A 15,599-nucleotide genomic window follows, 5' to 3' on the forward strand; every position below is an offset into this window, starting at 1 on the left:
TGGCCCATTGATTTCCTTGTGCATCTAGTCCCACTTTCTCAGGCATTTAGGCTCTGCCCTGCTCTGGCTCTCTCTCTCTTCAGCCTTCCACCGTATCAGGAGAGTGGAGACTCTGGAGGAAGACAGATCTTGGTTTGGTTTCTAGGTTTGATGCTGACTGACTGGGTTTGGGAATGAACAAATGATCTCACCTCCCTTGGTCTGGCTTCCTCATCTGTAAAACAGAGATAATAATTCTCATCTCACTTTTCATGTGGGATCTTTGTGAGGAGTCAATACAAATAATGTGCGAGGGAGCTCTCATTTACCAGAAGGCATTAGTTAACTGGTCAAGAATAGTTCAAGAGAGTCTTACCTCCCAGTGAAGTTTAAGGTTTGGCAGTATCTGAGCACTGGGGGAATCTTTTCCTATACCCCCCTTGAAGTGCCATAGGGTTTTGAGAATCAGTCACACGGCACACCTGTTAAATCCCTGTGTTCTTCCATGATTGCTGCCTTTCTTTGCCTTATGATTTTTTCCCTTATTGTGGCCTAGTCCACGGAGGTTGGAAAGAGGAGTGTGCCCTTCCCTTCCCTTCCCTTTCCTCAGCAAGGGGCTAGTTTCTACTCATAGCTCAGGGCTCACCCACAGCATAGCGCTGTGTGGAAGCCTGGTGGGGGCACTGGGTGAGTGGTGCTGCAGCAGAAAGGCCTCCTGCTGAGACGCTGAGGTCAGCATTTTCAGCGGCAGGGAGCCCTGTGACTGAAAGCAGAAAGACCAAGTACAGTGTGAGGACTCGGGTTGGTGTTTGTGGCCACATTGATGGCTTCATGGAAGTATGTTCCCCTCTGTGCAATGAACTAGTAGGGCCTGTGTCTTGGGGCCTGCACCTTTTGATTGCAGGCACCAGGCCCAGCATTTTTTCTGTGTTGCCTATCTGGACGACAAGCCATACGGTAGTTACTAGCGTCCCCATTTTGCAGGTGAGGCAGATGAAGCTAGGAGGCGTTAACTTAAATGACTCTTTGCTGAGGGAATAAACCCATAAGATGACAAATGAGGTCTGTGGTCACTTTCTTCACTGTTGCAGTGCTGTGCCCAGCACTGAGTGTGAGGGATGTCATGGAGAGAATGCTGAATTTGGAGTCCGGTGGCCTGGCTTTGAGTCCCTGCTCTGTAACTTTACTTCGTTGTGACCCTCACTTTCTTCATTGGTCATAAAGCAGGAGGTAAAAATTTAAATGAGATCTGTGTGAAAGCGTTTTATAATCTACGAAGCTATATACACATGGGCGGCATCATCCTTATGGCTGTCTGTTGAGAGAGGGCCTCGAGGAGAGGACTTGGCTTCATCTTGCCTTCTAATCCCTCACTGCAAGGCCCTGAATCCTAATCCCTCACTGCAAGGCCCTGAATCCTAATTCCACTCCATCTCTCCATGATGCCAGTGCCACATCTGGGACCTACGCAGAAGAGTCATACCTGCCAGCACAGCTATGGTGATTGTGCTTGGGAAGAAGTTGAAGTTGCAGAAGGAAGGTGGTAGAGAGGGACTGAAAGAGCCAACCAGGCCAGAGCTCGACAGGACCCTCCCTCCTTCCCTACCCTTCAGACAGGAGCTGCATCACCATTTTCTTTTCCTTTTCTTTCTTTCTTTTTTTTTTTTTTTAGACAGAGTCTCACTCTGTCACCCAGGCTGGAGTGCAGTGGCAGTATCTTGGCTCACTGCAACCTCTGCCTCCCAGGTTCAAGCGATTCTTCTGCCTCAGCCTCCTGAGTAGCTGGGGCTACAGGCGTGCGCCACCACACCCAGCTAATTTTTGTATTTTTAGTAGAGACGGGGTTTCACCATATTGGCCAGGCTGGTCTCAAACTCCTGACCTTGTGATCCACCCATCTCAGCCTCCCAAAGTGCTGGGATTACAGGCATGAGCCACCGTGCCCGGCCATGCATCACGATTTTCAAAGGCCAGCTTCCTGACTGTTCCTTGAACTCCTTGAGATAGGTATTTACTGTGCTTGTGACATGCAAACTGCAAATAATTCTTGCCTCATAATGGATAGGCCTGTAACCCAGCCAGCCCTCTAGGCAAGCAAATGTTATTTCCTAGTTTTAAGTGTGAGCTTAATATGTGAATTAATTTCACATCTTCATCCTCTTCCTAAATCTGTCTTTGTTTTGTCTGATGAATAACTGAAGTAATGGATTTGGTCACACCACTAGCTGGGTAGCCACCTGAGGCTGGAGTTCTGATATGTGGGTCTTGCCTGCTTTCTCTGCACTGTGGCTTTGCACGTCGGGTGCTGAAGCTGGGGAGCTGGAATCAGCTGGTGTGTTCTCTGTAGAACTGAGAGGACTAGCACCCTGGGGTGGAAGCAGCCCTGCCTTCTGAACCACAGACTTGCTTGTGTTTGATCTTATGCTGTTTTCTTACTATTTCTGATAAGAATGTGAACTCCTTGTGAGCAGGGACCCAGTGTCCCATTTCTCTTAAATCCTCTACAGCTGCTGGCATGGGATGTTTGGTAAATAATAGACCATTTAATGAAGCATCACTCTGTCTGTACCAGGCACCTTGAAGTTGCTTTGATTGCTTTGCCTGTTTTCCTAATAGGTGTCCGGTGGTCTCTCTTTCCAATGCAGGAACAGAGTGCTGGAGGTAGAGACTGTGATTGCTTAATGAAGATATCAGAACTTGCACAACCCACACATAGGGCTCCCATCAAAGCAGTAGTTCTAGGGCTGCAACCTCTTCCCAAAGATGTTGCAACACTTGTCTTCAGAGCCAGTTTCTGCTTTTCATTTTCCTTTGCTTCTGGCTAAAAATGGGATCCTGTTGTCACTGACCTTACTCCCCGTCTTTTCTTTAAGAAACTCTTGAGTATTTGTAAGAAAATCAAATCTATCTTCAAATAACCAAGTTTTCTTATCTTTGAGAATCTTGAGTGCAATGTGTCATGGGCTCTGAAGGTCTTACGTTGAGGAATGGCAATATTATCAGAATTACGTGTCCAGCTTCCCAAGCTTACTACTTTGAAGGAACACATATTTACACAATTCTGATGTGTTTATTAAACAAACAGCTTTACCACTTCGCAGTCACGCTTCTCTAAGTCTGCAGTCTCGTCTGGCCTGACTTTCTCCTTGTGCCAAGAATTCCTTCACCTTTTCTCTTTAGCCTTTGGCCCCAGGAAAATGGGAAAGTAAGATATTTTACTCCTGGCCAATGCCTGATTTTTAGAAGCCTTCCTCACTCCCTGGCAAGGCACATTTTCCTGTTACCTCAGAGTAAAGAGACTCGGTTCTGGGGTTCTGCATAGTGATGCTACATGCCTGACCCTTGCTAGGGTTTGAGGGTCCTTGGGAACTGATGCAATCGTAGAAGTCACAGCTGTCATTCAGGTTATTTACAGAAGTAGACAGAATTGCTTCACTTGCCAGCAGGGCGTCTTGAGCTTGACTCAGAAGGATATGTAAGTTTCTGCTTTTTTTTTCTTGCCTGTTTCAAAAACGCATTTTTGATACCAGGAAAGTTAGACAATTTAATCTTATCTGTAGCAGAGGGAGCTTCATCCTTGCTGTGTGAAGCTGTGCGAGACGACAAAGACTGTTGTAGAAAGAGGCCTCTTGCTTATAATTGAAGCATCTTTGACCTGAGTCAGTGTTCTGCAGCCAGGATCAGATAATCAGCACTGGTCACTGGCACCTGGCATTGGGACCTGGAGGCAAAGAATAACAGAATTAATTGGTTTCCAGTAAGTAGCAGGGATCATGGCATGTTCATACTTTTTAAAAGAAGCCTTATTGAGATTGAGATATAATTCACACACCCTATACTTAACTAATTTAAATCATACAATTCAGTGTTTTTTACTATATTCACTGTTAAGCAACCATCATCAAAATCAACTTTAGAACATTTTCATCACCCAAAGAAACCCCATACCTATTAGCTGTCACCCCATTTTCCATTCTATTCCCCCTCCCTAGCCCCAGCCCTAGGCAATTGCTAATCTGCTTTCTGTCTGTGGATTTACCTATTCTGAATATTTCATATAAACGGGATCATACAATATGTGTCCTTTTTGCCTGGCTTAGCATAATGTTTTCAAGGTTGATTCATACTATCGTGTGTATCACTACTTCATTCCTTTTTATGGTAGAATAATCGTCCACTAAAGGGACATACCACATTTATTTATCTCTTCATCAACTGATGAACATTTGAGTGTTTTCCCCTTTTTGGCTATTATGAATAATGTTGCTGTGAACATTCATGTGCAAGTATTTTGTGAACTTAAGTTTTCAATTCTCTTGGCTATATTCCTGGGAGTGGAATTGCTAGGTCATATGGTAACTTTCCCATTTTGAGGGACTGCCAAGCTGCTTGCCAAAGCAGCTGCGCCATTTTACATTACCACCAGCAACATGTGGAGGTTCCAATTTCTGTACGTCTTTGCTAACACTTGTTATTGTCTATCTTTTTAATTATAGCCATCATAGTGCATATGAAGTGGTATCTCATTGTAGTTTTGATTTGCATTTCTCTGATGACTAATAATAGTGAGCATCTTTTCATGTGCTTATTAGCCGTTTGTATCAAATCCTTTGCTCATTTTTAAATTGAATTTTTAAAATTATTGGTTTGTGGCAGGGCATGGTGGCTCATGCCTGTAATCCCAGCACTTTGGGAGGCCAAGGCGGGTCGGTCACCTGAGGCCAGGAGTTCGAGACCAGCCTGGCCAGCATGGTGAAACCCTGTCTCTACTAAAAATACAAAAAATAGTCAGACATGGTCACAGGCATCTGTAGTCCCAGCTACTTGGGAGGTTCAAGCCGGAGAATCGCTTGAACCCAGGAGGTGGAGGTTGCAGTGAGCCTAGATCATGCCACTGCACTCCAGCCTGGGCAACAGAGTGAGACTCAATCTCAAAAAAAAAAAAATTATTGGTTTATAAGACTTCTTCATATATTCTGTATACCAGTTCCTTTTTGGATTTATGATTTGCAAACTCCTTTCTTTCTTTCTTTCTTTCTTTCTTTCTTTCTTTCTTTCTTTCTTTTCTTTTCTTTTCTTTTCTTTTTCTTTCTTTTCTTTCTTTCTCCTTTCCTTTCCTCCTGTCCTTTCCTCTCTCCCTTTCTCTTTCTTTTCCTTTTCTTTCTTTCTTCTTTTTTTCTTTCTTTCCTTTTTTCCTCTCTCTCTTTCCCTATTTCTTTCTCTTTTCTTCAGGCTTTTGCCCTGCTGGCCATACTGGAGTACAGTGGTATCATCATAGCTCACTGCAACTTTGAACTCCTGGGCTCAAGCAATCCTCCTGCCTCAGCTTCCTGAGTAGCTAGGATTACAGGTGTGTGCCACCCAACCTGTGCTAATTTTTAAAAATTTTTGTAGAGATGGGGGTCCTGCTACGTTGCCCAAACTGGTCTTGAAATCCTGGCCTCAAGCGATTCCCTGCCTCAGCTTCCTAAAGCATTGGTGTTCCAGGCATGAGCTACTCACTGCTGGCCTCTTCAATTTCTTGATGGTATCCTTCAAGCACAAAAGTTTTTACTTTTGATGACGCGTAATATACATTGTTAGAAGGCCATAGCTGGATTGAGTCTTCAAGGTTGCCTGTTCCAACTCCCTTGTCGGAGTAACGGGAGGCACTGTGATCAGAGAGGAGGGGCCTTTCTGAGGGTCACAGACCCACAAAACCAGGACTGGAGTATAAGTCTCTGGACTTTCACCTTGGGACATTCTCAGTTTCCACCCCACTGTTTCTGAGGGTCGAAAGGTTTGGGTGTATATGTAGGGAAAGATAATTGGTAGGCTCTGAAGCACACAGTTCATTTGTTTTTCAATAAGGAAGAGTCATGTTAGAAATTTTGTCCTTTCTTCCAGAAGGTACACTATATAGCCTGGAGCCACACTGTCCAAAATGGTAGTCACTGGCCACATGTCATTATAAGAACTTAAACTAATTAAAATTAAATGAAATTTAAGATTCTCAGTCATAAAGCTGTATTTTGGCTAAGCATTGTGACTTATGCCCATAATCCCAGTATTTTGAGAGGCTGAGGCAGGATTGCTTGAGGCCATGAGTTGGAGAACAGCCTGGAAAACATAGTGAGACCCCATCTCTACCAAAAAAAAAAAAAAAAGAAATTAGCCAGGCATGGTGGTGTGTGCTTGTAGTCCTAGCTAGCTACCCAGGAGGCTGAGGTAGGAGGATTGCTTCAGCCCAGGAGTTCAAAGTTGCAGTGATTTGTGATCATGCCACTGCACTCTAGCCTGAGTGACAGAGCGAGAAGCTGGGGGAAAAAAAACCACATTTCCATTGTTCCTTATTTATATATGGCCACCGTATTAGACGACATATGGGTTGTTTCCATGATTGCAGCCAGTCCTGTTGGGCAGCACTGGCTATACCCACTGGCATTCTGTCCACTCCTGACCCAGTGGTGCCCTAGACACCCAGCTGTGATCTGTCTTCTGTGGGTCCCTCATCTACCTGCTGCTCAGGCTTCTTCTTTATGTAGTTGCCTCTGGGCTTCCTAGCAAGCCCCCTACCCAGACTAGATGGTCTGTGGGCCCTGCAGGCAGAGACACTTCTTCTGCATAGTTTTTGGATGTGGTTGCCAGTATAAAGGCTAGTGCCTTTCCTCACCTCAGCCAATAGGTGTGACTTGCAGAAATAGAGCTGAAAGATGCTTGCAAGAAGTGTGTTCTTTCTTGGAGAGGTTAGCTCCTAAAAGTGAATGCTGAATGAGTGGATGAATTGATCTACTCTTTGGACTAGGGGAAGATGTTGAAGAATTTTTTATCGAAAATTTTATTGATATGTAATAATTGTACATATGTATGGGGTACATGTGCTATTTTGATACATGCCTGTAAGGTGTAATGATCATAGTGGGTAATTAGGGTATCCGCCACCTCAAACACTATTTCTTTGTGTTGGGAACATTTCAAATCTTCTATTTTGAAATATACAATAAATTATTAACTATTAGTCACCCTACTGTGCTATCAAACACTAGAGCTTATTTCTTCCATCTAACTGTGTGTTTGACCCATTAACCAACCTCTCTTCATCCCCCTCCAGCCCCTCTTCTCAGCCTCTGATAACTATTATTCTACTCCCTGTCTCCATGAGATCAGCTTTTTTAGTTCCCACATAAGAGTGAGAACATGCGATATTTTTCTTTCTGTGCCTGGCTTATTTCACTTACCGTGATGGAAGTTGGAGTACTCTCGAGTTTAGTTCTTTTGGCTGCATTGGTTGGTGGTGTTTTGGGTGGGTACTTCATTTTAGAGGCAGTCAGTTCCAAGAATTTGCAAGATGCTGAGTGAAGTGGGGCAAGAGGCAGGAGTTGGAACACTGGGTGTTCTGAGACAGTGACATGAGGGAGATGGGTGTAGTCCTGCTGGGTGCCCTGTGTAGAGGTTTCCTTTATTTCAGGTTCCTGTAACCCTGAGGGCCATCTGAGCCATCAATCCAAGGTCAACAGGCTATGGAAAAAATCTCAAAACTGCTCTATGTAAAAGGATGTTTTACCCACATCTTAGTGATGGGAGATACTGTAGTTTGGACCAAGCTAGGATATTATAGACCAGAAATGAGTCTGGGGACTATCTCAGACATGAGAAAGGATTGACCAAGAATCATAGCAAATTCACAGTGGCACAACTGAGACTGGCATCCAGGGCCTCTGGCGCTTCGCCATAGGCACATTCCAAGTGCCATGGTGTATGTCTTCATTTACACAAGGACAGGTACTTCATACACACAAACAAGCAAAGCAACTTCTTGGAGACATTGCCCAGGCTTAGATTTTAATTTATTTAACCCACGTTAGGCACTCAGTCCTGCCTTCAGGCCCCCCTTTGCCACTCTCATAATTAGAAGGTATTAAGAAACCTTTCAATTACGGCAAGATCACCAGGGTTCTCATTTCTTTTTCTTATCTCCAGCCTATCTCTAGAATCTATTTTTTGCAGGGAGGACTGTCCTTGACTTTAAAGAAAGCATTCAGAAACAAAGAGACTTGTTATTTTTGAGGTCAGCCTCCTCCACCAGACTCTGAGAGCCTTGAGGGCAAGGACAGTGTTGTCTCTTATCACTACTCAAGGACTGGTGCAGAGTGTTCATTTGGTGAATATCTGTGAAATTCTCATTTTTAGGAGAACTCCCTTTTGCTGGGCTTCTCAGGTATGAGGTCCCTTTTCCATATGGTCCTGAAACTTTATCAATTCCAGTTTAGAAGTAGCGACCTGAGGAAATGGAATAATTCTTCTGTCCATGGTGAGGGGAGGATGGGGGGAAGGTGCTCATTTTGCCTTTGAACTTGATAAGAGCAGAGAACAGTCAGGTTTGTGCTGAGAATGTAAGGGTTACTTTTTCCTGAATTGGGCAGTGGGTGGATGGAGCCCAACAGGACATCCTGGGAAGGATTCCCAGAGCAGGGAGAGGGCAAGCACAGAATTGTGGAAGGAATTCCGTGCCATAAACACAGAATATCTTATTTAACAGTGGAACTTTTTTGCTGTCTTCTTTAGAGGTGGAAAACAGTTCTTTCCAAAGACAAGCTTAATGACTGCTGTGCCAACACACAAAACTACAAGATACATTTAAGCATCAGTTTAGCACCAGAAATGCAGTTTACAGAAGATTTGCATGAAAATCTTAAAAACAGGTTGAAAATGTCCTAGGCTCAGCTAGTGCACTTTTAAGTTAGTAGGAACAGGGCTCTAGGGATGAGATGATGGAGCAGGGATGTGACATAGGTCAGGGGTACATGTGTACCTGGCCTTTGAAGCCTCTTTTGGGGTTCATTTTAATTAATTTCTTGTTCAGCTTTTACCATGGGCCTAAGTTTCTCTGGTTGGAGCAGAGTAAGTTTTCAGGCTGAATTTCTTGGATCATTGCCTTTGTTTTCTTTTTCACATAGCCTGTGGATGTCTGGCCTTTTCAGCCAAGGAAAGAAAATGGAAATGGTTTTAAACACTCACTCACTTGAGCCATGAATTTCAACCATATATTAATTTTGCTTATTTTTGGATTTTCAAATCTTCTGAGAAGCAATGAAATGACACAGGGGCAGGCCACTAGGGTGCTTTGGAGGTTCTGCGTGGCCTGGAGCAGTGGGGAGAGGCTCGGGAGAGTGGAACTGTGCCCTCCCACTCGTGCTACCCACACAGCAGCCTCCTCCCTCACTCTCTCCTTCATGTATGTGTGTTTGAGGTTCTGCTTAGCACTTTATTTGGGGAAAATAAGTTTTCTGAAAACTTATTTTGTAGGCAATAGAGGAGAGATTGGTGTATGTCTTATCCTTACTCGAGTTGGCAAGGACTCTGGGCCGAATATTTAGGGCTTGGCTCTTGCTCCCTCTACCTAGGTGGATTATGCAGTGAGATCTCACTTGCCTTTAACTCATAGTTATTGCTTAGCTCTTAGGAGCAGTAGAAGTAAAAATCCTGGTATCGTAAATGAGCACAATCCCTGTAATAAGTGATTTCTGTGTATTATTGGTAGCTTGAAAAATATTAAGTGTTACCTCCATTTTTTAAATATGAAATAAAGGGCTAGATCAGGACATGAACTCATTCCTGTTGTCTTCCAGAGCTATTTTACTAAGGAGGAGATGACCCAGTGGTGAAGAGTAGGTAGCAGCATGTCAAACCTGGTAGCTTTGCAGTAGGGGAGGTGGGCAGTACAGTGGGAATAAGCTAGAACTAATAATTCAGTGATCATATGGGGCCTTGCAGGTTTTTGTTATTTTCTGCTTGGGTGTAGGTTTTGCTTTGCAAAGTCTGAAGGTGACCTATATAATTCCCATATATTTGGAGCTCTCAGGATGTGCCAAGGATCAGCCCAATTCTCTGAACGTTAACTGAGGGAGTCAGGAGTCCTTCCTGACCTCAAGAAGCTCACAGTTCAGTTGGGGATAGATGGCCTTGAGCTTGTGTTTTAGAGCTCTGGTCCCAGGTAGTGAGCTCAAACCCAGCACAGACTAGATTAAGCCAAAGAGGAATTTATTGGCTCACATTGCTGGCCAGTCCAGGGATAAACTGGAGTCAGCTCAGGCGCTCAAATGATGTCACCAGGATCTGGTTTCTCTCTCTCCAGCCTGGCTCCACTTCCTGTATGTTGATTCCATTCTCAAGAATTCTCAGACACGACCTCCCCTTGTAATTGCAGGATGGCTGCCAACAGTTTCTAGGCCTACGCCTTTCCACCTTCCAGCAAAAGAGAGTGTGAGAGTCTTTGTCCCAGTCCTTCCAGATGGAGTCTTGTTTCTTCCCATTGTCTCAGATTGGGTCACGCGCACATCCGGAACCAGTTGCAAGGCCAGGGACGTGTGCAGCACTGCTGACGTGGGGCCAGGTCATGTGCGTCACCCCTCGACCTGGGGAGGAGCCAACTCTACCCTAAGTTCCTGGGCTAAGAATGGAAAGAGAGTCAAGTATTGGTTATTGGGGAAAGGTAATGATGTAGGCTTGAACTCTGGCCTGACCCATTGTCAGGACAGCCTGAACTTGGGGCTGTATTCCCACCTGACATAGCCTTAAGTCAGAATTTATTCCAGTATGAGTACAGCATCTTGTTACCATGTGGTTTTAGCTGCACTGTGGATTTAGACACCAAATCTTGTCTTCCCTGAGAACATTGTCCTTCCTAGAGGTGGGGTGGAAAACTTATTTCAGGTAAGCATTCGGACCTTGACCCTAACCTTAATGGTGATTACTGTTCGAGGTTTTTCAAACACATAGTGAATAAGGACAGCTGGTGCAATGGCACGCCCTCCAATTGGCTACGTTACACAGATAAACATTCTTAATCTTTCTGAGGTTTTGTATAGAAGAGTGGAGAATTGTACCAACTTTTCTCCCCCCGGTTGTACATCTTCACTTTGTCACCAAGCCTGGATTCCTCATCTGTAAAATAGTATCCCCTCAGAGTTGCTATGAGAAATAAATGAAGTGATTTGAGTAAGGCATGGCACCTGGAACATAGTACATCGTGCATAAGAAGCAGCTATTGTTATTATCTCCTAATTTGTCAAATGAGCAGGGCGTATTGCCAGATAAGCTCTTTAAAGTTTTAATGTTCACATTCTATAAATCTAGGAAAATCTTTCCTCCACTGCCCACCCACACTTGGATTTTGAGAACTGCATCTTCATTGAGGGTAACGTGTTAGAAAGCTCTCAAACATTATAGCCCTCACAGAATGTATAGTACTTCATAATTCACCAAGTACTTTCGTGTCCATTCTCTCATTCAATCCTAGAACAATCTATGATGAAACAAAGCAGGTATCACAATTCCTGTTTTATAGATCAGAAAACTTAGGGCTTAGAGAGATCAAATGACTTACCCAAGGGCATAGTGGCTGGAAGGTTGCAGGGCAAGGCCTATTGCCAGAATCTTCTCAGATATCCCATGTCTGTTGGAGCATTCTTCTACTCCAGTGTGGATTTGCCTTTCTGATGGCTTTGACTGGAGAACTGTATTGGGTAGTTCATCAAAATAAGAAGCCTTGAGTTCATATAGTGAAAAATAAGATCACCTTTTCCCTTTGTTCATTGGCTTGATTTATTAGGATTGTATTCTCAAACCTTTCCTGCTATTAAAGGAAATGACCTTAGTTTGTGTTGCATGAAATAGCATTAAGTCAAGTTTACAACATTTCAAAGTTATGGTCAGTAGCATTCCAATTAGAACCTAAAAAGCTTACCTAGCTGAGGTTTAAGTCGTTGATCTTGGAAAAGGTAAAGACTTCTCAGGGAGGTTGGGCTGCTGTGTATGACAGCTAGACCCTCAGTTCTTGGTCTGTTAACATGTGGCCCATTTCTTCCTATCCATGCCCCTCCATAAAGCTTTGTGCGCTGGTAGTATTTACAGTACTGGATGATAATTATGGCATTAATTATTTGAGATAAATGGAGTGTGCCCAGTAGCCAATAGACTATTGTTAGAGTATTATTAGTATTTTTATAGGTCTTTTGGATAGCATTCTATTTCAAGACATTTGAAAATGTAGACCAGATTAGTCAAAAGCATTGTACATGATCTGTCCATGAGTGTAGGCTCTCATTAGAACTTCTGGAATCATTCTGAAATATACCCAGCTAGATAATACTAAGTCATACCAATTAAAAGGAAAGACTTGAGTTTGAGTTATAGAATGTTGGAGAGAAATCTAGTTTATTACTTTTAATATTGAAGTCAAATTTTGATTTTTCTTTTATGGTTAATATTACCTGGGTCCTAAGAAAGATTGCAAACATGTTTTCTTACCTTTTTTCTTGTAGAAGCTTTATATGATGTTAGCTTTTGCATTTAGGTCTGTGGTCCATTTCAAATTAATTTCTTTTCTATGGTATGAGGTTGGGGTTAAGAGGTTAATTCCAGCCACCTCCCTTGTGGGTATCCAGTTGCTCCAGCAACATATGTTGAAAATGCTTTCCTGTCCTCATTTAATTGCTTTGGTACCTTTATTGAAAATCAATGGATCACATAAATTTGGTTCTGTTTCTAGGGTCTCTGTTCTGTTCCATTGACACATTTGTCTTTATGCTATCTCTGTACTGTTATTATTACTGATGCTTTGTTTTAAGTCTAAACATTGGATTATATAAGTTCTTCCATTTTTGTTCTCCACCCCTCACTACAAGATTGTATTGGCTATTCTAGGTCCTTTGCATTTCTATCTAAATTTTAGAATTAACTTGTCAATTTCTATAAAACAGCCTTCTGGGGTTTTGATTGAGATGACGTCGAATCTATAGGTCAATTTGGGGAGAAGGATAGCTTAAGAACATTGAGTCTTCTAATCACTGAGTGTGATGTATCTCTTTAGATCTTCTCTAATTTTTCTCAGCAATGTTATTAGTATAGAGGTCTTACATGTATTTTATTTATCCCTAATTTTTATATTATTTTTGATTTTATTGCACATAGAATTTTAAAAAGAATCTTCTAGTTGTTTATTACTAGTATATGGAAACATGCTTGATTTTTGTATATGTTGCCTTGTACATGCCGCCTTGTCACATTTACTTATTACTTCCAGTAGTTTTTGAAGATTCTTTAGAATTTTCTATGAACACAATTATTTTGTGAATAAAGATAGTTTTGTTTCTTCCATTCTAATACTTATTTATGTATATATGTATGTATGTATTTTTCTTGCCTTGTAACATTGGCTAAGACCTTCCATATGGTATAGAATAGAAATGGTAAGAGTGTAGACATTCTTGCCTTCTTCTTGAACTCAGAAAGTGTTTATTCTTTCATCACTGAGTACAGTGTTAGTTGGAGGTTCTGCATAGGTGTCCTTTATTGGTTGAGGAAGTTTCCTTCTGTTTCTATTTTCCTGAGAGTTTTTATTATGAAAGGATGTTGAATTTTGTCAAATGTCTTTTCTACATGTATTGAGATAATCATATGGTTTTTCTCCTTTATTTTATTGTGGTAAATTCCATTGAATTTTGCATGTTAAACCAATTTTGCATTCCCAGGACGCACCTCACTTGGTCCTGATATATTATCCTTTTTATATATTGAGGGATTTGATTTTCTAGTATTTTAGCATAGGCTTTTTACATGTATGTTCTTGAGGGATATTGGGTCTGTACATTTTCTTTGTAATGTCCCTGTCTGGCTTTGGTGTCTGGGTTGTGCTGGACTCATAATGTGAGAAATAGTGTGGTACCAGTTGCTCTGTCATGACCAGCAGCAGAAGTCTAGTTTTCTTTAAGTGTGTAGAGTGATGACTGTTAGGTAAAGAGTTAGAATTATTTTAATGATCAGCCAAGAGTCTCTGCTAAGTAACATGAGGTATCTGTGAAATGGCATACATAACTGTTGTGTATGAAGCAGTGCATCAGAGAGGCTGGGAAATACTTTAAGTGGGTTGAGCAACTCATACCATTCCTTATGCTAAAATTGTACTTATATTTTATTAGCAAAATTTCTTTTATCACTGAGAGAATGAATTATCTATCTGATTGCCACTCATAATTTATGGAGTTATCAGTTAATAAGGTTTTATTGTATGTTAATATGAGACTCATTTTTTTCCTTTCTCTCCTCTTTGGGTTGTATTTCTTCCAAGTAAGAGCTTAAATTCATGGGTCAGCTAGTACTGACCAGCATCTGTTGAGTTATTTTGCATAAATTTGGTTACCTGGCCTCAGATAAGAATGTTTTTTTAATCTGTATTGGTGGCATTGTTGGTTGCTGATACTGCTGTAGTTTGTTCTTGCAAGACTTCTGTTTAAAAGAAGGGTTATAAATTCAGTGTAACTCAGAGCAGAGGTAAAGTATAGAATGGAATTAGAAGAAAACGAAGCATCAATTTCAGTAAAGTAGAAATCGTTTATTAAATAAGCGGTGGGTGACAGGGAATTGGGAGTAACCATCCTGGTTCCCATAGTGATGGTGCATCCAGGAAAAATACAGGGAAAAAGGGAATCATTATGGAAGAGTTTTGGGTGTGTGTTGTCATGCTTTAGGAAACTTGCCAATTTCTACACCTCTGTCTTCAGATTGTCGTGTTTAGACACACATCCCACACAAAGTGCTCAGCAGTACTTCTTGTGCTCGTCTTTATCCCCTGGAATCTAGAGGATGGCACCTCTGGGGGAGTTATTGTCTCACATGATTTAGAAAGACCTCCACTATTTTCTTTCCAAGAGTCGAAGGAAGGTGGGTGAGTTGGCCTGGCACCTATAAGCAGGGACCTACAACACTGCTTGAAGCACCTGGTGACATCTGCTTGACAGGCTTCCCCTCCCCACTGTTGTCACCACTTCCATGGGTGGTGGGTGGTGTTGCACGGTGCCCATGGGGTGGTGTGCATGTTCTCCAATGCCACCTGCCCTGCCTCAGTGCTGCCTCCTGTAACAGTCTCATTTGTTTCGCTGGAGTATCCTTATCGAAAAGGTCTTGGGGACCATTTGCCTAAAATGTTCCCCAGCATGAAATGTCCCCCACACTTGCTCTGCACCCGTGCACATCCTCCTTTTCTTTTTTTTTTTCTGAGACAAGGTCTTGCTCTGTTGCCCAGGCTGGAGTGCAGTGGCACAATCAGTGCTCACTGCAGCCTTGACTCCTGGGCTCAAGCAATCCTCCTACCTCAGCCTCCCGAGTAGCTGGGACTATAAGAGTCCCACCATGCCCAGCTAATTTTAATTTTTTTTTTTTTTTTTTGTAGAGGTGAGGGTCTCAGTATGTTGCTTAGGCTGGTCTTGAACTCCTGGCCTCAAGCAGTCCTCTTGCCTCAGCCTCCCACTGGGATTATAGGCATGAGCCACTGTGCCCAGCCTCCTCCTCATTTTTGTAGACATATCAAGTCTGGCCTCCTTCAGGAAGCCTTCCCTAACTAACTAATCAAGCTCCCCGTGTTTCTTTCCTTTAGGATCTATTTTTTGGATGTGTATGGTTTAATATACCCTTAAGAATAATGCGTTTGGAATTGTAATTGAGAAGACAAGGTTTACGTTAGCAGATTATAGTCTAACTCTGATTTTTAGAAAAGTGATATAGAATAGAGACTTAAAAAAAATGACATTCTCACATAGGTTTTGGATATTTGGAGATAGGAGGAAAAACATGTCTTTAAACCA

At 42.4% G+C, this 15,599-nt stretch overlaps 1 protein-coding gene across 21 annotated transcripts in view, besides 1 other annotated feature; it reads left to right on the forward strand.

Annotated features, from left to right (window-relative positions):
• Nucleotides 1-15,599, forward strand: part of CACNA1D (calcium voltage-gated channel subunit alpha1 D) — a 319,123-nt gene that overhangs the window by 21,243 nt on the left and 282,281 nt on the right. The window lies entirely within an intron of this gene.
• Nucleotides 9,977-11,176: an enhancer, noted in NCBI's record as "BRD4-independent group 4 enhancer chr3:53559857-53561056 (GRCh37/hg19 assembly coordinates)". NCBI's record gives its function as "activates an origin of replication core promoter dependent on BRD2, P300/CBP, MED14 and CDK7 cofactors, and independent of BRD4, by STARR-seq in HCT116 cells {active_cell/tissue: HCT116}" and the evidence as "EXISTENCE:reporter gene assay evidence [ECO:0000049][PMID:35650434]".

This window comes from Homo sapiens, chromosome 3 (genome assembly GCF_000001405.40).
Source record: "Homo sapiens chromosome 3, GRCh38.p14 Primary Assembly".
In the NCBI taxonomy this organism is placed as follows: domain Eukaryota; kingdom Metazoa; phylum Chordata; class Mammalia; order Primates; family Hominidae; genus Homo; species Homo sapiens.